This window comes from Homo sapiens, chromosome X (assembly GCF_000001405.40).
Source record: "Homo sapiens chromosome X, GRCh38.p14 Primary Assembly".
Classification (NCBI taxonomy): Eukaryota; Metazoa; Chordata; class Mammalia; order Primates; family Hominidae; genus Homo; species Homo sapiens.
Window position 1 is genome coordinate 96,737,790 of NC_000023.11, and position 26,620 is coordinate 96,764,409.

The 26,620-nt window shown below is 35.8% G+C and overlaps 1 protein-coding gene across 2 annotated transcripts in view; it reads left to right on the plus strand.

Annotated features, from left to right (window-relative positions):
• Positions 1–26,620, plus strand: part of DIAPH2 (diaphanous related formin 2) — a 920,156-nt gene that overhangs the window by 52,948 nt on the left and 840,588 nt on the right. For both annotated transcript variants that reach the window (NM_006729.5, NM_007309.4), the window contains exons 3-4: positions 797–973; positions 20,365–20,469. In NM_006729.5, the coding sequence (NP_006720.1) occupies positions 797–973; positions 20,365–20,469 (282 nt within the window). The remainder of the gene's footprint in view (positions 1–796; positions 974–20,364; positions 20,470–26,620) is intronic.

Consider the following 26,620-nt stretch of genomic DNA (forward strand, 5'->3'; position numbering starts at 1 on the left):
ATTTCCAGTAAATGGAAAAGCCGATGTTTTTATCTTTGTTTTGCTTCCTCATTGGCCCAACATTTTAGGGAAGAAAATGCTGGGGGAAAATAATAATAGTAACAACAATAATAAATAGCAGCTAAGTGCAATAAACATATTAACTTATTTAAATTTCACAGTAACCCTATGGTGTAAGTAATATCATTATCCCTATTTCAGAGATGAGGAAACAGAGAGAGACCAAGTAAACTTTCACAAGGTTACTCAGCTAGTAAATGGCAGAGCTTGGACTGAAACCCAAGTAATCTGTCTTGAGTCCACGCTCTTAACCATTCTACTGCTACACTGACACATTATTCATTTATACTTGTCACAATTTTTGCAACTTTGAAGGAGAAAAACATTACCATAATTTTCTCTTAGAATTGGAAATCAGTAGCTCTTTTTCAGTTTCTTTCTCTTTTTTCATAGTTCTAAAGTTGCCACCAAAGACACACTCTCCCAGAAACAACCAACAGGACTTTGATCCGAGACTTTTTTTTTCACTTATTTACTGTGCAAAACAGAAATGACAAGGGACTAAGTTTTACTTTTGAAGAATACTTTTCACCCCCAGAGTTCTGAGGCTGAAGAGTACTTCAAGGTTTCAAAATAGTACAATCTCTAACTGGAGCTTGCTGCTTAAAATAGTATTTTGTCAGAAGACAATAATGATATGTATTATACTAAGTGCCGTTTTGATGTTTCAATTCTTCATGTTAGTAGTTCTTGATCTTTTTCTCAGGGCTTTTTATTTATTTATTTTTGTTTGCAGCGTGACCGAATTACAAGTTTTAGAAAATCTACTGTCAAAAAAGAAAAACCTCTTATTCAACATCCTATTGATTCTCAAGTCGCGATGAGTGAGTTTCCTGCAGCTCAGCCATTATATGATGAACGATCTTTGAATTTGTCAGAAAAGGAAGTATTGGATCTCTTTGAAAAAATGATGGTAAGTTATACCCCTAATTTTGATGTAATTTTAAAATGTGTGTGCCCAGAATAGCACTGAGTTTTAAGGAGGTGTGTTTGTATGGACAGTGTTTATATCACATAAAGAAGAGACCAGAAACTTGATATAACAAAACTATTTGCAAAAGTATCCTTTTTTTTTCTTTTTTCTTGGCAAAAATGTCCTTACCTGTCTATCTCTTCCACTGTGAGCTCCTAAAAGTAGAGGCAGTTTTATTTATCTTTGTTTTCTACTATTTAGTAGTCTCTAGGACATCGAGTCAGTTTTTCAGTTAACTGATTTGTGTGTCTGTTTCTACAAAGCAAAAGAGGCCTAGGTCCTCTGCTGAAAACATCACAAGGTCTCTTGTTGGGTATATGAAATAGACTTGGGAGGGTAGAGAGTAACAATAGAAGGGACAGAGAAATTAATTCATCCAAGTTTGTTCTATTAGCAACATTCACACAACCTACATTTTCTAGCATGTTTCCTGTGTTTTATAGCTTGTGGCCTAAATCACTGCCTATATTAGATAATGAATACCATATTTTGAGTATTCAGAAGTTTATGGCAGGAGAGGGGAGAGATGAGGAATTAAACCGTATTACATTGTTAATTTGACCAGAGAAGAACTAGAGATCTTGATTTGTGATTCATTCATTCAAAATTATATCCCACATGTTACTGTACATTTTTTGTGGTTGTCTATTTACCTGTAGTTGTCCACAGGAGTTTCAAAGGTCGCCTTACACCAAAATAAAAGGTTAAGGATCAGTGAAATCTAGACCCTACTGTGCCCACTGTGGAACATCTTGTCATCACCTCTCCTGCTACCCTCATGTTTATTTCTCTCCTGCACCTAGAAGAGTTAGTAGGCCTTGAATAAATATTTGTTGGTAGCTGTTGAATGAATCCAAACAAAATTTCCCTTTAAAATTTTCCTTGACTATTCCTTCCATCTAGCCACAACTGGCATTTTGGGTATTCCCCTGAAACGAGTCCTGACACTTTTACCCTTTTTCACTCTTCTTCCTGCTTCTGTGGTGCACCCTTTTTCCTGCTGCTCCTTTCGTGCTATCTTCTTTAAACCATCTTTCAACAACCTTTTCTCTTTTGAAGTCTGTTATTGCTGACCTTCCTTGATGATAGCACCTGGCTATGCTTTTGTCCTTTACCCTTGCTACTCATTTTGGTGATTTCAACTATTACGCTAATAGCCTTCAATACATTTTTTGCTCTTAGTTCCTTGTTTGCTAAACTCTGACTTTTGCATTTATATATTTAGCTAATTATAGGTATGACTGTACCTTGGACTGTGTCATCCTTTAGAATAATTCCACCTCTAAGAGCTTTAACTCTAAAATTTTCCTTAGAAGCTAAACAATTTACACTACCTTTCCAAGACCCTTAATTTTATAGAGCATGTATTGTGTAGTGGTTAAAAACCTGGACTTTGGGGTCATTCAGAATGTTTGTAGTGTTTCTTTCCTTTATCAAATAAGCTCTGTTGTGTCTTTAATTGCTAGTATTTTCTGATTACCTAGATACCCCTCAGTTTATCACCCTGGTGTCCTTAATCACTGAAAACAATGATGACAGCAACAAACACAGAAACATTCCTTGATACTATTAACACTTTTTATCTTTTTAAATCTTTCTTCTCTTTAAATAAAAATTATACTCATTGCTTTAAGCTGCTGACAATTTGGTTACTACCTTTTGCAGTATTGAAATAGTTCTCCGAGTTCATCAGTGGCATTGCTGTATTCAGTTTTTCTACACTGAGCATTACAGGGCTATCTTCCCTTCATTGATTATCTCATTCACTTCTAATTTCTTGCCAAATCCCATTGGTTTTGCTTTTGTAATAACTGTTACATTTGTGTCCTCAGATGTCCTCCAGCTGTTCTTGCCCTACTTTAGATGATAACCCTCTCTAGTTGTTTCTCATGGCTATTAAAATAGCCTCCCAACTGGTCTTCCTCCCATCCTCCAGGTTTTGCCTATTCCAATCCAGTATTGCCCTATGATTTGGACACAGAGTTCTTTTCTGAAGCCCCAGGTGGGCCTTTATGTTTTCAGAGAATCAGTTTATATGTCCCTACTCCGTTCCCTCAACTATGCCCCTAGATGCCTTTCACACCTTTGCTTTTCTGCTCCAACCTCAGAGCTCTTCCCCATCTTTATTCTCTGCTGATGACCTTGCTGCTTAATTTACGAGTAAATTGAAGCATTCAGAAGAGAACTTCCACAGGCTCCCCCCACCACATTTACCTTTTAGTATCTGCATTCATGTATCTGTCTTGCTACCTATCACCATAGATGAAATTTTCATGTCCGCATTCTTCTGCTTGTGTATAAATTTTCATTCCTTTCAGCTACTCACAGATATTGCTTCAATAATTTTTTCTTCTCTCTCCTACCATTCTGAGCAGCATGTAAACATGCGGTCCCATTTTTCAAAAGCCTTCTTTTGACCCTTTCTCTGTTGCTAGCTATCACTCCATTTATTTACTCTCCTTGGAAGCAAAGCACCTCACAATATAATTTTATTCATATGCACTGCTTCCAGTTTTAATCCTCTCACTTTCTCTTCTAAACTCACTCCAACCAGGTTTCCATCCCACCATTCTATCAAAACTGCTCTTATCAATGTCACCAGATATCTTCATGCTGCCAAATCCCATGGTCAATTCTCAGTTCTCATCTTAATTTTTTTTTTTTTTTTTTTGAGACAGGATCTCACTCTTTCACCCAGGCTGGAGTGCAGTGGCATAATTATGGCTTACTGCAGCCTCAATCTCCTGGGCTCAGGTGATCCTCCCACCTTAACCTCCCAAGTAACTGGGACCACAGGCATGCAGTGCACCACCATACCCAGCTAATCATTTTGTATTTTTTGGTAGAGACCAGGTCTTGCTACATTGTCCAGGCTGGTCTTGGACTCCTGAGCTCATGTGATCTGCCTGCCTTGGCCTCCCAAAGTGCTGGGATTACAGGCATGAGCCACCATGCCCAGTCTCTCATCTTAATTGACCTATCAGTAGCATTCTGTGCAGTTGATTATTCTCTCCAATTTGAAACACTTTTTATTTTTTTGTCTCCTCAACATTCATCTTGTTTTCCTCCTACCTCTCAGGCCACTCCTTTTCAGTCTTCTTTGCTCATTCCTCTTTATGTCCTGAACCTCTAAATCAAATTTACATTCAACTTAGTCCTCACATTTGAACTCCAGACTCATATATTAAACTTCATAACCAACATCTTTCCTTGGATGCACAATAGATCTCTCAAAATAACACAACCAAAACTGAACTGCTAATATTCCCCTCCAGACCTGCTCCTACAAAAGTCTTCCCTTTCTCAGTTGACGGTATCTCCATCCGTCCACCTAGGCCAAAAACTTTGGATTTGTCCTTCACTACCCTTTTCTCACATTCTACAGTCAAACCATTAGAAAATCTCATTAGCTTTTCCTTCAAAGTAAGGCACTTTCAACAGCTGACCATTTCTTACCCACCTCCACTGATACCACACTAGTTGAAGTCTCAGCTGGACCACTATAATAATGGTAGGATTATTAGGATTACCACAACCCCTAATTGATCTTCCTGCTTTCACTCATGACCCTCTATTCTTAGCACAGAAAGATTATTCATTTAAAATATGAACATCATGTCACTTGGCTCCTCAAATCTCCACCATGGTTCTCATGTCACTCAGTGAATAAAAGCCGATGTACTTGCAGTAGCTTATAAGATCCTATATGTTTTGACACCCACCACACCTTACCTTTTTGATATCTTCCTCTACTATTCTCTTTCCGCTAGCTCACAGCTTCAGTTGCACTCATGCCTTTTATTTTATTGTAGCTCTAAGGAACAATGATTCCTGTTAGTTTTTCTTTCTTTTTTTTTTTTTTGAGATGGAGTCTCACTCTGTCATCCAGGCTGGAGTGCAGTGGCGTGATCTTGGCTCACTGCAACCTCTGCCTCCCAGGTTCAAACGATTCTCGTGCCTCAGCTTCCCAAGTAGCTGGGATTACAGGTGCATGCCACCATGCCTGACTTATTTTTGTATTTTTAGTAGAGACGGGGTTTCACCGTGGCCAAGCTGGTCTCGAACTCCTGACCTCTGGTGATCCGCCTGCCTTGGCCTCCCAAAGCGTTGGGATTACAGGCATGAGCCACTGTGCCCAGCCGATTCCTGTTAGTTTTTAATTTTTAAATTTATGTACAACATTTACAGTGTTTTTAAACTTCGTACATTTCTATTTTGTGGTTTGAATATCATAATGTTTCATCAGAAAATTACTATTTCCTCTTTATGATTTTTTTTAAAAAAGGATTTGCTTGTTGGATTCATAAATGTGATTTAAAGAACTGTACAACTTTGTGCCACATTTTCTCAAATGGGAATTTTTTCTTCCATGGGAATTTTGAAATAGGATATTAAGAAAATATGTTTTTCAGGTACTATCATATTGTGTTATAATTTTATTTGATGGATCTCTTTTATGTTATGTGACCCACATAATCATTATAGACTTGTATATGCAGATATTAAAATCCTGTTTATATCTAGTAGTGGAATTGCTGGATCATATGGTAGTTCTGTTTTTAATTTTTAAAGGAACCTTCATACTATTTATCATAGTAGCTGTACTAATTTACATTTTTACCAACAGTGTATACAAGTCCCCTTTTCTCCACATCCTGGTCAACAGTTGTTATCTTTTGTCTTCAGTAATAGCCATTCTAAAAGATGTGAAGTCATATCTCATTGGTGTCTTAATTTGCATTATGTTAAGTGAAATAGGCTAGGCATAGAAAGACAAATAGCACATGATCTCATTCCTATGTGAAATCTAAAAATGTTGATTTCATAGAAGTCGAGAGTAGAATGGTGGTTACCAGGGGCTAGGGTAATTGGGCAGTGGGGAGAGGGGTAGGTTGAGGAGATAGTGGTCAAAGGATACAAAATTTCAGTTAGATAGAGGAATAACTTCAAGAGATCTATTATACAACATGGTGACTATTGTATTTTTGAAAAATGCTAAGAGTAGATGTAAAGTGTTCTCACCACAAAAATCACAACCATGTGAGGTAATGCACATATTAATTAGCTAGATTTAGTCATCCCACAGTGAGTATATACTTCAAAACATTGTGCTGTACATGCTAAATGCATACAATTTTATCTGTCAATTAAAAAAACTTATTTATAAATGGACATATATTATTTTTAAATAACAGTATAATATAATAGGATATCAGAGAAATATGGTTTGATTAAAAGTAACAACCAAAAGTTAAACTGAAAACTTTAAAGATTATCTCTCTACTTTGAGAGAAGTCTACTTATACCCTGAATATTGCGTATTTTCTATATTAGTTTGACGGTAATAACCTTACAGTGAACAAATTATTTTATGAATAACTATAGTTTTCATCTACTGTATACTTATGCCTAAGGCATGAAACTAAAACATTTAAGTGTATTATTTCAATTGATCCTTATGACAGTGCCACAAAGTAAGTAAGATTGTTATACCCCATTTTCAGATGAGGAAAGTGAAGCTTAGAGAGAGGCAAGAAAATTGGTTCATTAACTTGACTAAGCTAGTAAGTAGCTGAGCCGAAACTTAAATTTAGGTACATAAAAATCTAAAACATTGACTTTTTGTAACATCTGCCTTTAATAATGCTTCATTTAAACTAAATATAAAATTAGTACATTTTCCTTGCACACATAGTGAGGAGAAGTAGAAGGCAAATCAGAGGTACATTAGAGTGGTAGGTAAAGCCAGCCTGGGATGGATTATTTCCTACTGATAATGGAACATTGTCTGTAATTGCTTTTTATGGAGCATCAATTGAGAAGAATGAGTCCAAAAATCTAGCAATGGAAAACTGTTAAAAATGTCATTATCACAGTTGATTGGGAGAAAGCACTTAAGTCATTCTGTTTCTAAAACACGGAAGTAGACTTCCAGATATGAAATTTATCTTTTTTTATTTCACTCCTTGTGGGTGTCTTTCCTTGTACAAATAACGTAAAAGGTGTTCTTGTCGTATTTGATGGCTCTTATGACAATCTTCCTTCTTCTGGGTCTTTTGATGGTAGCTTTATTGTGCTGTTTCTCTTGATTGGCTTTTCTGACTTTAGAGAACTACAAAGGTTTAGACCATTTGGTTTCAATACTATATATGTATTTTAGGATAACATACTTTGAGGTGTAAAACTTTTTTTTTTTTTTTTGAGATGGAGTTTTGCTCTTGTTGCCCAGGCTGGAGTGCAATGGCGCGATCTTGGTTCATTGCAACCTCCACCTCCTGGGTTGAAGCGATTCTCCTGTCTCAGCCTCCCGAGTAGGTGGGATTACAGGCACGCGCCACCATGCCTGGCTAATTTTGGATTTTTATTAGAGACGGGTTTTCTCCATGTTGGTAAGGCTGATCTTGAACTCCTGACCTCAGGTGATCTGCCAGCCTCAGCCTCCCAAAGTGCTGGGATTACAGGCATGAGCCACCGTGCCCAGCCAAAACGTTTTAAATAATTGCAGCACATAGCATGAGATTATGCACAGTAATAATATATGAGACACTTGACAAGAAATAAATTACCTTACAATTTACTATTTAGAATTTCTGGGTAATGATGTATTGGTGAAACTTTTGGTTAAAAACTTAACAAAAGATAATATTCAAATATAATCCTTTCTTACTCTGAAAATTGAAACTCTTGTTATACCTGAGGATCACATCTATCAACAGCAGTTCTCATTGGATAGGCTTGTAGATGTAGATAATTGAGCTAAATCTAAAATTACTGCAGGATATGTTTTTTCTAAAAGAAGGTAGCTGTTTTTACTTAATTACTAATAGATCATTTCACAAATCACTTGATTCTTCATAGCTAAGAAAAATTGTGAAATGAGTCCAGTTAACTGAAAGATCTGAGTAGTCTGGTTTTACTAGTGTATTAGTAGACTACTAATGTCTCATTGACTCTGGCATCTATTCTGTGCATTGGTGCATCACTTTTCATATTGTGCTTATTCAATGATGCAATTTTAAAGGGACTTTCTAAGTAATGGTATCAATGGCTATTGCTGGCAAGTTTAAAGTTCCAAATTTGAAATAAATATTTATTTATTTTTTTGTTTAGAGACAGGACCTTGCTCTGTTGTCCAGGTTGTATCATGGGTCACAGCAGCCTCAAACTCCTCGGCTCAAGCCCTCCTCCCACTTGAGCCTCCCAAGTATCTGGGACTACAGGCATGTGCCAAATAAACGTGATTTTTTTGTTTATTTTTTGTGGAGATGAGGTTTTGCCATGTTGCCCAAGCTGGTCTCCAACTCCTAGGCTCAAGACATCCTCCTGCCTTGGCCTCCAAAGTGCTGGGATTATAGGTATGAGCCACGGCACCTGGCTTTGAAATTTCTTGATGATTGTTTATTTTATAGAATATAAGCTCTTTATTAAGAGAGTGTCTTTCATAGTTTGTAAAAGTGAATTTTGTATTTAGAGTATGGTTACCAACTACTAACTGAAAATTGAGAAGTGGTTCTTTTACTAAAGTTTTCAAGAATTAAAACCACTGCTTTTATAAGATTGATAAAATTACCTGCATGGGGTAAATCACACTTGCTCTTTAAGATTCTTGTCTCCCTCCCATACCCAGAGTCATGTTTTCAAATCTTCCACAAGTGGGTAAAGGTAGTAGGATGAAAACAATACTCCTTCCATGTTATTATTATTGGTAACTTTTTTTTTCTTTTGTTTTTTTTGTTTGTTTGTTTTTTCGAGATGGAGTCTTGCTGTGTCCATTAGGCTGTAGTGCAGTGGTGTGATCATGGCTCACTGTGGCCTTGACCTTCTGGGATCACACAATCCTCCCACCTCAGCATCCTGAGTAGCTGAGACTGTATGCACGTGCCACCATGCCTGCCTAATTGTTTTGTAGAGTGTGGGTCTTGCTATTTTGCCCAGGCTGATCTTGAACTCCTGGGCTCAAGCATTCCTACTGACTTGGCCTCCCAAAGTGCTGGGGGTTACACTGTACCCAGCCTATATTTAGTGACTTTTAAAGATGACTGAACTAAAGCGGTTCATATTCGTAACTCTTCTCATATTGATCAGAAGCATTTTATATTGCCTCTAATTAGGATTGGATGAAATATCTCCTCAATTCCACTTTAAATGTAAGGAAATTAATAATGCTGTAATTGAGTAACTCTTCAATATTTTAAGTTGTCATAACCTTTGAGCTTGCTGAGAATAACTGATCTGGTTTTTGTACATTGAGTATACTGCTTAGGGACTGTTAAATGCTTATTAGTGTTTTCATCTAGACTGAATTATGCAATTAGAGTTCTTTTTGGGGAGAGGGGTGTTGGGAGAGGGGAGATTTTCATTTTAAGATTAAAAAAGTAAACCCATAGAAATTTCTTGGGAGTTCATGTTGGAATTTGATTTCTATTAGCAGCACAAGGAACTCCCAAGTGGAGGTTCAGGTTGCATTGGCAACATATAGATACGTCAATAAGGACTGTGTTCTGATATAGGTAATTAAATAGTTTGTCTTATGCAAAAGATGAGGCTAGTAATGATTTATGATTAACCTCTAGCCATATTTCATTTCAACCTAATTTGTTAAAGGTAATGTTTAATATATGATTATACATGCAAATTTGATGTTTTACACTCTTTTCTATTCAGCAATTTATATTAATATACTTTGCATTTTTGTCATAATTTAATGATAATAGTTATATGCAATAAATACTAAATTATTCCATCTGCTAGAACTCTCATAAGTAATCCCAAACCTTTTAATTTTTGTTCTCTCACTTTTCTCTTTCATTAATTTAGAGAGAATAGTTGTGCTTGAACACCAGGTGTTATACATTAACCCAAGCATCCTTGTTCTCCACTGACTGCTATTATAGGTTTCTTTCTCACCCAACCCTAGTCTTTTAGAAGTTAGTTAGCTTGGATGAATCTTTTCATGCCCTCAGAATAAGTAATTTTAATTAATAGTTTAAGGTAGCACAAAATAAATTATTGGTAAACTAGGTCTTAAAATCTATAATAAGCCATGGAAATAGTTGTCAGAAATGATTAGAATCTCAGAAATTGTCTAGACAGCATAATATCCATAGGTTATATTTACATTTTCAATATCCTTACTCCATATCATTAGACGGAGATAATGCCAGAAGCATTTCTAGACAACATGTTTTATTTTCTTATAAAACTCCTATGACGAGCTTATAAAAGAGGAGCAAAACTTACCCAGTAAACAGATCTAAAAGGTAACTAAATCTGGGTCAATTTTTAATTTTATTGCCGAGCATGATTTTTTAAAAACTTGGCTCTGTTCTTGATTTGTACAGAGAAATGCTTTCAAAAATATTTCTTCTGTTTTGAAGGATTCTACTAGTATTTATTTGCATGAGTGTATTTAAGCAACTATTTATTCATATGTGCAATGTGCCAGGTAGGATGCTACATGTTGGAAGTGTAAAGATGAATGCAACACCTCCCTTACCCTCAGAGAGCTCAGTGTTTACTCAGGGAGAAAAGTACATAAATTATTTCCATAGCACTAGGATAGCTGTGAATAGGCTACTGTGGGAACTTAGCCCTGTGTAGGGGCTCAGGATGGAAGCAGAGAACACCACCTAAATACACTGTGAAACCCAGTGTTACTTCTGAATTATCCGTCTTTATTTTTTGGCATAAATGTTCTCAAAATTTGAACAGTTTAGTTCATCAAAGTCCCATGCCTTCCATATGCCCAATACTGTTTTAAGGTCTGAGAAGAGAGCAGTGAACAACTTAAAGAAAATCCCTGCCATCAAGGAGCTTATGTTCTGGCAAGGGTGATATACTGGAACATAAGGTGGAGTTATAAAAGAAAAGGAAAAGACAAATATCTGTGTCATGGTGAAGTTTATTTGACAACTCTCTACTGAATGCCAGATACTTTGTTAGGTACAGCAGACATAAAGATGTCAAAGGTACTATCCCTGCCACAAGGTTTTTATTTTGTATATCCTGCTGACTAAGAATGGTTTTATATTTTTAAATTGTTACCCAAAAAAAGACTGTTTCAGGGCACATGAAAGTTATATGAATTTCAGTGTCCACAAATAAAGTTTTGCTGAATGTATCCACGCCCATTTGTTTATGTATTGTCTATAGCTCCTTTGTGCTACAGTAGAGTTGAGTAGTTGAGACAAAGATTATATAGTTTGCAAAACCTAAAATATTTACTGTCTGGCAATTTACAGAAAAAGTTTGCCAACCTCTGGACTAGTCCAAGAGTCTCTAAACCTTTTATTTCCTACCCCATCAGAAAAAAAAAAAAAAAAAATATATATATATATATATATATGTTTGAGTAAGTAGCCCTAATATATTTTAAACATTATATACATGCATGTATGTACTAATATTAATATGTACATTACAAAATATACACAGTAAAAATGAGAAAAACATGAACAAGATTTTAAAATGATTTAAAATTAGTTTATTTCTTAATCATACAGAAGTCTTTGCTGTCATGATTAATAACTTTTTAGTGAGAACAGTGTCACTATGTCATTTTTTTATGTCTTGCTTAAAAATAGGCGGTAATTAGAAAGTTTAGCTCCAAGTTCATTTTATTTTGATATTTGGTTTAATTTCTCTCATAATTGAAACATAAATCTGACAAAGATTTGTAGGTCCAAATCGAACAAATGCACCATTAGCAACTTACTAAATTGTAGTATTAACTTTTATCAGACCAATCCATGAATCAAGCAAAGATTTCCTGCTGAACCATGACTAGTAAATTCCTGTCTTACTTGATGACAGCCAGTTATTCTTGCAACTAATCTGGGGTGTTGCATTTTTATATTTCTAAATAAATGGGTTTAAATTGGACTTTAATAAATGGGTCTTCAACAAGTGCCATTGGGAAGATGGGCTCTTTCCATTTTTTCTTCTACATTATTAATGTGTAGACCCTCATCCTCATGTTTGTGTACTCATGCCTGTTCCAGACAGTACATCTAACACCAGGAAGAAAGAGGAAGTAATTCAAGCAAGGGTGAAGGGGACTGACTTGGAAGTTGAGTCTGTTGGGACTGACTTGGAAGCTGGGTCTGTCTGTGTGGCTTTTCCAGTAAAGTAGGTTTGAAAAGGAGTTACTTTCTTACTAATTGTTAAAACGTCAAGGAATTTCTTCACTTTTTGTAAATGAAAAATGCCTAACTCATGCTATATTTCAAGTTTTTTTTTTTTTTTTTTTTTTTTGAGATGGAAACTCACTCTGTCACCCAGGCTGGAGTGCAGCTGCGCGATCTCTGCTCACTGCACCCTTTGCCTCCTGGGTTCAAGCGATTCTCTTGCCTCAGCCTCCTACGCCTGGCTAATGTTTGTATTTTTAGTAGAGATGGGGTTTTGCCATGTCGGCCAGGCTGGTCTCGAACTCCTGACCTCAGGTGATCCGCCCGCCTTGGCCTCCCAAAGTGCTGGGATTACAGGCATGACACTGTGCCTGGCTAATTTCGACAGTTTTAAAATACTTTATCTTGAAATAACCAGAAATATCTCTGGTTTTCATGTTAACTTCCTATTTCATTTCAAAATATTGTAAATATTTTATTGTATTTGAAATATCTTGCTTTTATTTAAAGAAGAACAATCTTCTTGACTCTGTAGTATTCTGTATACTTCAGTTTCAACTTCTTGCAATGGCCTTGAATTTTACGTGTAGGTTTACCTGACTCAGGAATCCTTCCCTCATAGTTTTTCCACAAAACCTCTTTTTATTAAATAAATCATTTATTTTGGTTATGTGTTTTCTCTGTTAAATTGTTCTAACGGTGACACAAAGAAAAGTAGTTTATATATGTCATTATGGAAACAATCTAGCAAATACTATAAGGTGAGGTGTTTTTAAAAAGGTTATATTTTTATCCAACTGTATAGTAAACCTCCTACACTAATTGCTTAAATACTTGCTTTAGCAAATTTTCAGTAATGATCTATACGTGTCTTCTGATACGTCAGTATTTGCTGACAAAGAAATGTACTTCAGCTTCCTGCCATGTTGTTTTGCATGGATTGTTTCAGCTGCTTTTACCAAGTGTTTCTCTAATGCCATGGTACCTTTTGTCAGTTGTTATTAAAGAAAATTCATGAGAAGCTTCTAAACACATATCATTAAGTTTACAAAGTATCACTAAGGTACTGGATTTGAGTATAACATTCTAATTATTGCGGAGAAAAATGACGAATGACTGAGAATTGAAGAATGAATGAATGAGAATACAAATGAATGAATAGGCAGCTGGTTCAACTTTTGACCTTCTCATTTGATCCTATTCTTATGGCTTCTCAGTAATAGCTTTAAGAATATAATGTTTGCTGAAGTGAAGGAATTTGTCTATAATAGGAAATTGTATCATGGCATATGAGAAGCATAAAAAAATGGTTTAGTATTTACAAATGTGGCTTTAAAAACATTATAGGCTGGGCGCGGTGGCTCAAGTCTGTAATTCCAGCACTTTGGGAGGCCGAGGCAGGCGGATCACGAGGTCAGGAGATCGAGACCATCCTGGCTAACACGGTGAAACCCAGTCTCTACTAAAAATACAAAAAATTAGCCGAGCGTGGTGGTGGGCGCCTGTAGTCTCAGCTACTCGGGAGGCTGAGGCAGGAGAATGGCGTGAACCCGGGAGGCGGAGCTTGCAGTGAGCCTAGATCTCGACACTGCACTCCAGCCTGGGTGGAAGAGCGAGACTCTGTCTCAAAAAAAATAATAATAATAATAAAGAAAAAATAATAAAAATAACATTATAAATGGTCAACTAGACTTCAGTGTTTTGTTTTTTTTTTTTTTTTTTTGAGACGAAGTCTCGCTCTGTCGCCCAGGCTGGAGTGCAGTGGCGGGATCTCGGCTCACTGCAAGCTCCGCCTCCCGGGTTCACGCCATTCTCCTGCCTCAGCCTCCCAAGTAGCTGGGACTACAGGCGCCCGCCACTACGCCCGGCTAATTTTTTGTATTTTTAGTAGAGACAGGGTTTCACCGTTTTAGCCGGGATGGTCTCGATCTCCTGACCTCGTGATCCGCCCGCCTCGGCCTCCCAAAGTGCTGGTATTACAGGCGTGAGCCACCGCGCCCGGCCGACTTCAGTGTTTTTTAAAATCACAAAATACTACATTTTTTCTCATGTATTATAGATATATCAAATGTTAAACATGCTAAAAGCTTGCTTTTGTTTTGAATACCATAAGAAATCAGTATGTTTAGAAATAGTTTCATATTCAATTACGCTGTTTAGAGTTAATATTGAATTATGAATATTGCTCTATTTAGCTTTATTATTGTATTATGGATCTGGAGTTAATGATTTGGAAGTGTTAGCTGCCTAATTAGTAGAATGTATCTTATTTCTATAGAATAAAATGAGTCATTATGGTCTTTTCACATGAATGATACTCATTTCCAATCAACCTATGCAGCAAATTTATAAGTATAAAAAACTGTTGCTGATTCTAAAGCAAGTTAATATATTTAAAGAAAAGGTCTTAAATATCACATTGGTTCAACAAATATTTATTAAATGTTTACTGCATTCCAGGAATTATGCTCTTTGCTAGGAGTACAAAGATAAGTAAGTTCCTATTTTCAGCTTCGAGTTTAGAAGAGATAGATTTATCACATAATTTCAATGTAAGTGACACATAAGGAATTAATATGGAAGACTAGGATAAGGGTAATTATTTTCAAATCAGGTGCTTTAGGAGAAGTCTTCCTGAAAAATTAGTGGTTGAGCACAGTCTTGAAGTATAATAGCCAGATGTGAATTTGGAGGGGGCAAGGATGGGCATTAACAGATGGAGAGGATGGTAAAGATGACCACATTTCAGGCAGGGAGAACAGCGCATCATGAGCAAAATAATGAGTGTGTAACAACACAGTTTATGTAGCAAAACTACAAACAACCTAACATTATTAAAACATAAGGGGTAAGATGAAAAGCGGTTAAAAGGCTGAGGTTGGGAGGTGATAACGCTAATAGCTAGCATTCTTTGAAAGCTAGTTAATATACACCAGGCTTGTCATGCATGATCACACCCAGTCTTGACAACATTCCTCTGAGGTGTATAATCTTACATTGCTCTTATTGTCCTGCCTGCCTCCCTACAAAATAATTCTGTGATGGCGTGATATCAGCAGTGTGTGCCATTAAAAACTGAATGGGTACACGGTAATGTAGAAATGTCACTGGAAGCAGAGAAACTCTCTACCTAGAGACTGCCAAAGGTGACGCCACCACACTCTTAGGCCAGGCTGTGAAGTATACAAATACAGACACTTAATCTTGTCACTGTTCCAGAGTTGATTCTACTTGGAGGTTGCGGATTGATGATAACCACATTTACAGGAGACTGAAATTTAACCAGAATTTTTTTAGGCAATAGAGACATAGCCCAGCATATGTGAGCAGAACATAGGGATTTTGATGAAAACAAAAACAATATGAGTCAGCAGAATGATGTACTTGGCCAGTAAGATAATAAAATCAAGAGGGTGAATTAACAGAGGTGTAAGTATTTCAAGGTGAGGGAGGTGGACATTCTTTCCTACCTTGCATTTGTTAAACCACAGAGTATTTGAGAGAGAGAGAGATGTGGACACCAACCCATGTTACATGAAGATAAGTTGAGTACTTTAGCCTGAAAGAAGGAATGTGGTCTTCAAATAACATTTATGTGGCTCTTGAATTAATTTCCTTCTGTCCAATCTGAGTTTTCTTCTTAGTTCGACTCTTATCTCTAGTCACTTAAATTACTTCAGCCCAAATTATTGAACATAAGAAAAATCCACTCTGGCAGGTTTAAATAGAATATAATTTTAGAGGATATTACGTAGTCTTGAATTAACAGAGTTGCAGAAACAGGCTCTAGATAACATTATAGGACTAACTTCCAGAACCACACAACTGAAATACAGTTCCAATTAAGGAGCTCTTATCCCAGAACTATTTGATCAAAATGTCTTAATGAAAAAGACACAGTTAATGCCATCAGTTCTGTAACAACATCACCTCTGTTGCCACCTACATCAGCAAAATGAATGGCCTATTCGTGGCCTGCTTCCTCACATAGTTCACTTCTAAATCTACACCTCCTATGCATGCATTTTATTGGTGGAGACTAAGCCACATGCCTGCACTCTAGTTAAAAGGGAGACTGACAAATGTAGTTTTTATGGATTCTACCTTTGTCAGGTGGGACTGACAATGTGAGGATGTATTAAATTGTAGAGGGTATGTTCAAGTGATGTTGAGCAGCAAAAAATGACACATGACCGCTAGAGTTTCCTGACCGGTCTCCTTCCTTCCAGTCAGATTTTTTTCATCCTTTGAGACCCACAACCTGGTGAAGACTTCTCTGACCTTTCCATCTGCCCTGTGTTTCCAAAGAATCTGATACATGCCTCAGTTAGAATTATTTGTTACTACTGGACCATAAATTATTTATTCAACAAACATATATAGCATTTACTAAGTATCAGGCATTGTTCTAAGTGCTTTATAAATAATATGTAATTTGAGTATAAAAACAGTCTACCAGATTAGACAGCCTAGCATAGTTTCTGGTGTGTAGTATGTGTTCAGTAAATAAGTGATTCAGAATTTTAAAAGAGAAGAAAAAAGGTCATGCCACCCACCTTAACACACATTATTTTGTTGTACATATTTCATGTCCAATCATTGAAGGAAAAATTTGGCAAAAATTAAACTACCCTAAGATGAGTGGGGCTGTCTGAGGACGTAGGGAGTACACTGTCAGTTGAAATAGATACATATGCTGGGTGTGGTGGCTCACGCTTGTAATCCCAGCACTTTGGGAGGCCGAGGCGGGTGGATCACTTGAGGCCAGGAGTTTGAGACCACCCCAGCCAACCTGGCAAAGCTCTGTCTCTAAAAATACAAAAAAATTAGCTGGGTGTGGTGGTGCGTGCCTGTAATCCCAGCTACTTGGGAGGCTGAGGCAGGAGAATCGCTTGAACTTGGGAAGCGGAGGTTGCAGTGAGCCAAGATCAGGCCACTGCACTCCAGCCTGGGCAACAGAGCAAGTCTCCACCTCAAAAAAAAAAAAAAAAAAAAAAAAAAAAAGGAAATAGATACAGAACATAGATGAGCATCTGTGGACCACATTATGAGTGCTATCCAACCTAGTTTCTGTGATTCTACTGTGATTCAACAATGCCAGAGCCTATGAGAGAGAGATGAAAAAGATGTCTTCTGCCTTCTAGTAAGTCATTAACAAGTAAAATATCCAAATGAGAAATAACATTAGATAGAAAAGTGGGGATAGGGACAGTGATCCAGATAATTAGGAAGAAAGGTCATGTATATATACACAAAATTTATAGGTATTGACTATGAATGAATCATCATAGGAGTTGCTGCAGTGGTTGCAAATATAGATTTTTGCTGTCAACAAAGTTATTATTCAATAGATAGATGCAATTTGTCTACTTTTGAGGATTGTCTTCCACATTCTCACATATGCATCTTTAAAATAACTTTGATGCCAGGCGTGGTGGCTCACGCCTGTAATCCCAGCACTTTGGGAGGTCGAGGTGGGTGGATCATGAGATCAGGAGATCGAGATCATCCTGGCTAATGCAGTGAAACCCTGTCTCTACTAAAAATACAAAAAATTAGCCGGGCATGGTGGCGGGCGCCTGTAGTCCCAGCTACTCGGGAGGCTGAGGGAGGAGAATCACTTGAACTTGGGAGGTGGAGCTTGCAGTGAGCCGAGATCGCGCCACTGCACTCCAGCCTGGGCGACAGAGGGAAACTCCATCTCAAAAAGTAAAATAAAATAAAATAACATTGATACTGTTCTTCGCCAATTAGTTTATTTACTTTATCAAAAAAAAAAATAGAATGCTCAGAATTTCTGTAAGAGTAAAGGGATAAAAATACTGATTTGTTTTCTTAAAAAATTTAGATATGATTCACATACCATAAAATTCACCCTTTTACAATGTGCTCTTTTTTTTGCTTTTTCTTTCTTTCTTCCTTTTTTTTTTTTGGAGACAGGGTCTTGCTCAGATTTCCAGGCTGGAGTGCAGTGACAGGAACACAGCTCACTGCAACCTCTACCTCCTGGTCTCAAGCGACCCTCCTGCCTCAGTCTCCCAAGTAGCTGGGACTGCTGGTGCACACCACCATGTCCAGGTAATTTTTTAAAAGTTTTTATAGAAGCGAGGTCTTGCTATGTTGCCCAGGCTGGTCTCAAACTCCTGGGCCCAAGTGATCCTCCTTCTTGGGCCTCCCAAAGTGCTAGGACTTTGGCGTGAGCCACTGTGCGTGGCCAAATTCATAATTTTTTTTTTGTATATTCAAAGAGTGTGAAACTAGCACAACAACTTTGAGAACAGTTGTATCACCCCATAAAGAAACACCATACCCATAATCAGTCAGAATCCAAACTCCCTCCTCTTCTCCCCTGGCCCTGGCAACCTCTAATTTATTTTTTGTCCCTATAAATTTGCCTATTTGGGACATTTAATATGAATAGAATCATAGAATATATGGTCTTTTATAATGCTTCTTTCACTTAGCATAATGTGATTTCAAGATTCATCCAGGTTATAGCATGTATCAGTACTTCATTCCTTTTTAGAGCTGAATAATATTTCATTGTATGATATGCCACATTTTGTTTATCCATTCGTCAATTGATGGATGTTTGGATTGTTTCTACTCCTTGGCTATTATCAATAATGCTGCTATGAACATTCGTGTGCAAGTTTTTGTATGGACATATGTTTTCATTTTGCTTAGGTATGTAAGCTGGGTCATATGGTAGATAAATCTGTTTAACTTTTGGAGGAACTGCCAGACTGTTTTCCAAAGTGGTTGTATCATTTCTCTTTCCCACCAGCAATGTGTGAGGGTTCCAATTTTTTCAATTCGTTGCCAACATTTATTATTTTCCTCTTTTTTTCTAGTTATCCTAGTAGAAGTGAAGTAGTATCTCACTGTGGTTTTGATTTGCATTTCCCCACAGATTAATGATGTTGAATATCTTTTCCTGTGCTTATTGGCCATTTATATATCTTTTTTTTTTTTTTTTTTTTTTTTGAGATGGAGTCTTGCTCTGTCACCCAGGCTGGAGTGCAGTGGTGTGATCTCAGCTCACTGCAAGCTCTGCCTCCTGGGTTTGCGCCATTCTCCTGCCTCAGCTTCCTGAGAAGCTGGGACTACAGGCACCCGCCACCACGCCTGGCTAATTTTTTGTATTTTTAGTAGAGATGGGGTTTCACCGTGTTAGCCAGGATGGTCTCGATCTCCTGACCTCGTGATCCACCCGCCTTGGCCTCCCAAAGTGCTGGGATTACAGGTGTGAGCCACCGTGCCTGGCCTGTATATCTTCTTTAGAAAAATGCCTATTCAAGTGTTTTGCTCATTTGTTACTGGACTCTTGTCTTTTTATTATTGAGTTGTAAAAGTTCTTTGTATATCTGGGTACACATCTATATCAGACATATGATTTGTAACCATTTTCACCTATTCTGTAGATTGACTTTTCATTTGGTGTTGCATTTTGAGGCACAGCCATTTCCAACTTGGTTTTGTGACCCTGTCAAGGGTGTCTTCATATGTCACAAGGATTACCATGAATTTCAAAATGAAGAAAAACAATTTGTCTAATCAAAGTGTTATAAGTGTATATATCACAAAATAAAGGTAGATTTCCAACTGAATTAAAGTTTATTGAACCTCAAAACAATGTGTTCTTGTAACTGAATACTTTTCCTTCTAATGAGTGACATTTATTACCGCAATACCGCTGTTTCTGCTTTTTTTTCTTTTCCAAATCCAACAACTTCTTGTGAACTTTCTTCAGTGACATATTATAGATATATAGACCCTGACAATTTGCAAATTGTATTTGCTTTCCCAGGTAATAATGATCCTAAGGGAGCATATGCCAAACAGCATTTTGTGTGTGTATTTGCTATCAAGATAAATAAAGAGCTTTGTTAGCATAGATACCATGTATATCTATGTTATAAACTGCCAATTTATTCTGTGGAATAGTTTTAAAAATATTTTTTTCTTTCTGCTCAGTAGTTGGCTAGGTAGAGATGTGAACCGTGAATACATGGTAGAATTTACACAAAACTGTGGTATCTAGAGTGAAAAATAATAGCGAAGTATCCCAAAAAAGGATTTTTGACATTAGTCACCACATGAATTAGTATTTTAAGACATAGAAATTATTAATGTTTACTAATCACTTTTGAAGCTCTTAAGTGGAAATTTATCAATGCCCACAGTAAATGTTATCTCTTACAGGAGGACATGAACCTTAACGAAGAGAAAAAAGCTCCTTTACGAAACAAAGACTTTACCACCAAACGTGAGATGGTTGTCCAGTATATTTCTGCCACTGCCAAATCTGTAAGTAGGGAGATTTTTCTAGCTCCAACAGAATGAGCAATGAGCTTAGCATCATTTTGCTTAAAAATAAACAAACCTCAGCTCTTCAGATTACCTCATTGTACTCATATAGACTGTTCAGAAGACAATTTATATATGTTATACATTTAGTATTAAGTATATATTTTTAAACTATTCATCATTAGAAATGGGACGTTTCCATTATTACAAGCAAGACAAAGGATACAAAGCTCTGAGGTAATCCAGTCCAGTCCTGAGCTTTTGTGTACATACTAAAAATCGACTGCATTTTGCAGATATTCCACCAAAATGTGGTTTGTTAGATGAAAATTTCGGATTTTGAAGAAGGTACAACTTAGTATAGTCACAGCTTAAGTTTACATTAAAGCTACATGTCTGGTGTCTACTTGCATGAAACTTTTAGCCATATTTTTTAATTCGCAGTTAGCTTTTTTCATAATTTTATATGATGCAAACTAAGCTGCCTCATAATTGCTATTGTATAGCTTCATTTAATGTAAAGGATGTCACCTAATAGGAGCTTTAATCAAATCTGTTTGTGAGTCCCAAGACTTGAAAGTAAAGTTCATTGAAAGGACTTGTTGTTATTAGGAAACTGTGTGTTTTAGTGGAGTATTTTGCTCTGTTCTCTTCCTAATGCACTTCCAAATATAGTCTTAAGCTTTGATTTTTTTTTTTTTGGTAAGAAAAAATTGTATTTTTGAAATAGCAAAATGCATCTTTTACATTTCTGTAAAGAAAAAGCTTTTAATACCTAGAGTTCATAAAATCACTGTATGTGTGTATATGTGTGTATATATATGTATACACACACAGTGATATTTTGTGTGTATACATATGCATGTACACACACATACACTATTTAGGTCATGTGTTTTAAATTTCATAAGTTGACCATTGCAGAAAACAAGTCTTCATTGAAAAAATATATTCTAAAGTTATTTGGCTATCCTATTAATGCTATTTCAGTACAGCAATTCCAGTGGCAATTACTAATGCATTTTGCCATGAATTCTACGATTGTATTGATTCTATATTGTACTTGAAACAAGCTAAATCTGAATGCTGAGCTATTTAAACATAACACATTGCAGCTCCGCCATAGCAGAGCAACAGCATGTTTTTAAATTTGCTTCTGGTATCCAAGGGCAGAAATATGTTTCAAGTGATAAGTGAAATTTGCCATGAGCGTCGTTTTCAATAGAATTAGGTGATGCATAGGGTTTTACTTTGAAATTCTGATGAATCTCTTCTCATTTTTGCACTCAAGTTATTGTTCACCATAAAATGCTTTAGGAAATGCAGGATGTACATTCAATGTTATTTTTCAAAGACCTAAAGGCTGATACACTAGTAAATCTATATGACTGAATCTGAGTGCAAAGTACAGATAATAACATATGAATAATCATGTGGTGGTTTTAATGATAAGATTTTGTTAGAGTCTCTGGCTCATTTGTTGTTGTTTGTGTAAGTGGGACTGAATATAATGATTATATGAAACTCTTATTCCTTGACCTTTTGAGTATTACATGATTTCTGTGCAGAACTTGTTTTCATTTATTCTCATATTATTTCCTCTTCAAGTGACCAAAGAAATGCACACTTCAAGTTATATACTGATTTTTCAGATTAAAATGCAAAAAATTGGATAAATATTAGATGAGCTCACTTGAACTGCATTATTCAAAAGATGGAAATTCAATGTTCCTCAAAAGACATGAAAATTCTATGTTTAAGGCATTAGCCTCAAAATCAGAACTACTTAAGGGCCCTTATTTGTTTCATTCAGTGTACATATGAGCACCTGAAATATGCACAGCACTCTGATAAGATTTCCAGGATTATACATATTTTTGCTAATATTTTTCGTGGGCCAGATACTATGATGGAAGAAAGCCTGTTGACAAGCATTTTTGAAGCTTTCTCATCTTGGAAAGACGTTAATTAGTACTATGTTTTCTATCATTAAAACCACAAAAATTAGTTATGTAATTTCCTTTTGAAGGTGAGAGGGTTGGCCTTCAGTGACAAACAATAATCTAACCTTTTTACCTTTTCATTATCACAGCACTAAAGTTTGCATTTAGAGTAGACATGATAGTTACCACTACTTTATGAAAATGCTTTCTAGTTAGTCACAGCTTTCATCTTGAGGTAGCAAAGTTAAGAGCTAGAGTCCCTGGTGGAGAAATGTTTTATAGTCACATGTAAAACATGTGAGAATTGTAGTGAAATTTAAACGTAAATCATACATTTTCCCCGTTTAACACCTGCATTAATCATTTTGTATGGGATCTAAAACCAGATTTTAGATAGAAATGTCTATCATGCTCCTGGGTTCTTGAGTAAGGACATAAAAGTAAAATGAAGCTATACACCAATATGTGGTCAAAACTCGTTTCTAAAGCAAACAAGAGTCTTTTGTCGTATAATTAACTTTGCTAAAATTAGCATGGAAAAGGAGACTATAAAGGAAACCATAAGATAATAATAAAAACTATTGCTTAGTTTTTTCTTCTCGAAGTCCCATAATAGAGAATGTTAAATTGTGTGAATGTTAAAGGAAAAAGTTTGAATAACTCTGTCCATGATGAATGAACTTTAAATAGAGGGATGGAGAAGAACCTTCTTTCTGCATTTTATCCTCCATTGTTCATTGTAGGAAGCGTAGTTATGGATCTGACGTAGGGTAATAGGAATATGTAGATAATTTGACCACAAATAACCTGGAAGAGTCTATATTTTCAAAACACCAGCATATGTTTTCAGAAAATGGAAAACCAAGCTTTGTTAATATTGCAAAAGTTGTCCTACCGATTGGTAATCCTGAAACAATATGTTGGTAATTTAGAGGGGATCTCACGGGCACTTAACAGCACATATAGACATTTATGAGGAAAAGTTATTCACCGAAGTCCCAACGTTAGTTTGTCAAATGCCAGTGTCATTCCTAGAATGTTAAGGGATTGGTTTATTTTGAATTTAAATCATAATCTTTGAAATTTTAAAATATGTAAAGTTATATTTTTTAAGACATGTGAACCATTGAGAGGCAGCATTGGTTTTTTTTTTTTTAATCTCAGTAGGAAATAATTTAAAATAGTGGTGCTAGCTACATCTGCAGATTTGTTAGACTGACCTGTATAATGAGTAGTTAAAAGTTGCAGTATATCTATATGTGTATGTGTATACATGTATTATGGTTTTGCTTTTGTCATTATCAGATACTCTTTCAGCTCTTTTCCAGGTATGATCTGGATATGATCAAACAGTTGAACCCAGACATGGCCAAAATATTTTCTCTTAGCTTCTGTTGGGTACTAAATCTTATCTATTGCCGTTTGTGCTTTAGCTAAATGCAGTTATTTTGCAATGCAAATGAATCATTAAATGGGCCATATTCTGGTTGTTTCACTGAGTATAGACCTGCTTTAATTGTTAACGCAGGCTCACATTCTTTTGTTAGTCTCATGTCTGTGCTAAATAAACAAGGGACAAATACGACCTCTGTCTTTTCGGTGGGAGGAAATAATTGAGGTCAATAGCATATCTTTTAATTCAGAAGACTGTTAATGGCACCAAAGAGGCTTTTATTCAACTAAATAATCACTGCTTGTAAATAGTCTACTGAATGAATATTTAAGAAAGCTGCTTCTGTATTCTGAGATTCATGGATTCTTCTGAAATAATTTACTTGGAAACTGTCATTATCTTTTTGTATTTTATGATATCCTTTTCAACATAGGATTCTTACTGGGGTTTCAGTTAAATTTGATTTTTATTTTTAAAGCACTAGCTGAAAAATAGAACACATTTTGATAATAACTGCTATCGGATTAATGGTTTTGTATTGTGGCTTAGCTGTTTTTTGGACACTGCTTGATATTCAAGTGTGGGAATCTGATAACAGTGATTTGATTTATATTTGGATTTTTGGATAAAATTATGTTTAGGACTATGAGTTTACTTCCTGCTTTCTTAAACACAATTCTGCCTCTCAGAAATTCTTTTATCACTTATCCATTAGGAAAGCTCAGTTGGAGCTGCAATTTTTGAACTATTTCCTCCTTCTGAACATGTGCATGTTTAGATGTAAAATGCTTCTTTGTCTTCACATTATGTAGAAAATTCTGATCTTATAATAGAAATGCTAGGATTACCTAGAAAACTAGAATAATAAGTAATCTATCTTTTTTATAATTTTCAAGTATAATATAAAACAGTATCGTACACCTTAAATTTATAACAATAAAAAATATTTGTTTTCAACCTAAAGTTTACTTCTGAACTTAATGCATGACTTTAAATGTAACATTTATATACTAAAATACCTTAATAGTATACCTGCCATAAGAAGGTGTACTATTTCAACCTTGATAGTATACCTGCCATAAGAAGGAAAGAAAAGAAAAGGCAATATTGGAAAAAACAAAATTTCTATTGATAATTTTTTCAGGGACTATGAGCTGGTAAAAAAATCTGATGCCTGATTACACTTAACATTGCATAACTTGATATTTAGATTATACTATATGAGAAGCCCATTATAGTACATTAAAAAAATCCTCAAATAGTAATTATCACTTATTTGAGAATCCTTATTCTGTAGACTTTACACATTTTTGAAACATAGTAGAAATTAATATTGATGTATCTATTTTAGCCTGTATATCTAAAGTATCAAAAATATAAATAGGGTTAGCTATTTACTAATTTACTAAACACTTAACCTCTGTGAAAAGCTTCTGACTACTAATATTGTTGCTGTTTGTTTTTTTTTTACACCATAACCACTCTTCGTTGACCACTGCATGCAGATAGTTGGAAGTAAAGTTACGGTGAGTACAAAAGATGTGTTTTACCCTTAGATATGAATTTGTGGTTTTGTAAATTGTGATTTTTGCTTGTAGTATTTTATATGTTTGGTTCTTTTGGTATATATTTTACCAAAGCAATGAGATGAATATTATGATCAGGTGATTAGAATTTAGCCTGGACAAGTATTTTTTCTGTGGTTTTTGGGAGATGTTTTAGAACTAGAATATGCTTGTATATTTTATCTTAGAAGTTTTCACCTTTTTTTTTGTTTTTGGAATTATGCCTGTGTCAGTCTTTATGATTCTGATGAAATTGTATGTTTTACCTCAATTTATCAGGAGGAGAATCCTAAAATGTTGGTTTATGCTAACAGGAATTCTTATTAAAATATGTCACTTTGATTTCAGTATGATTGAGCACATAGAGTAATGAAAACAACCCTTTCCATGCAGTCGGGAGGCCTGGGTGCTTGTCTTTGTTGTATGCTACTAATCAGCTTTTGCTACTTTGGGCAAGTCATGTAATTTCTCTGGGGCTCAATTATTAAATGGATAAATTGAAATGATTAGCTGAAATTATCTTTTAAGGTTCTTTCCATGGCTGTCATTTAAAGGTTTTATATTCAAGGCACTATATTTCAGTGCTATAATTACATGATACACTATTATATAACACGCCCAAAGTGGCCCGTACTGTGATTGAGAGCTGTTTGTAATTACCTTATCTTCATGACTAAGCACTCCCTAGAGAACAGGGTGGTAGGAAACATTATCTTTAACATCACCGAGTACTGAGGTATCTAGAATAGTGGATTTATTTGTTCATTTTGCTTTTAAAAATTGATTCCTTCTTTTCATTATCTTACTCTTCTTTTTTTTTTTTTTAAATTCACGAGACATCTAGGGGGAAAAGCCATCATCCTTTCAGGATAATTTTAAAAATCGAATATTTATTTAGTGCTTATTATATGCCAAGAATTATTCTAGGTGCACTGATGACTGGAAAATAAGAATGAGATAGGACCTAGTTGATATGTGTTGAAATAATCAAACCTTAAATTATGCATGCTGACTATAAATGTAATAGGAATTCATAAGTAGGAGAGAGAAGTAAGGTTGGAGTAATTAGAGAAAAATCTGTGTAAATTTCTGCACTTAAATTGGGCTTTCAGGGAATAATTAGTTATGATGGCTGGTGTTTGGCTAGGGAGGAGAGACTGTGGAGAAGCTCTCAGATTCTGGAAGTAATATTAAATGCAAAGGCCTGAAGAGAACCAAACCATGTGTGTGGAGGCAGAGAAGAAGGAAGT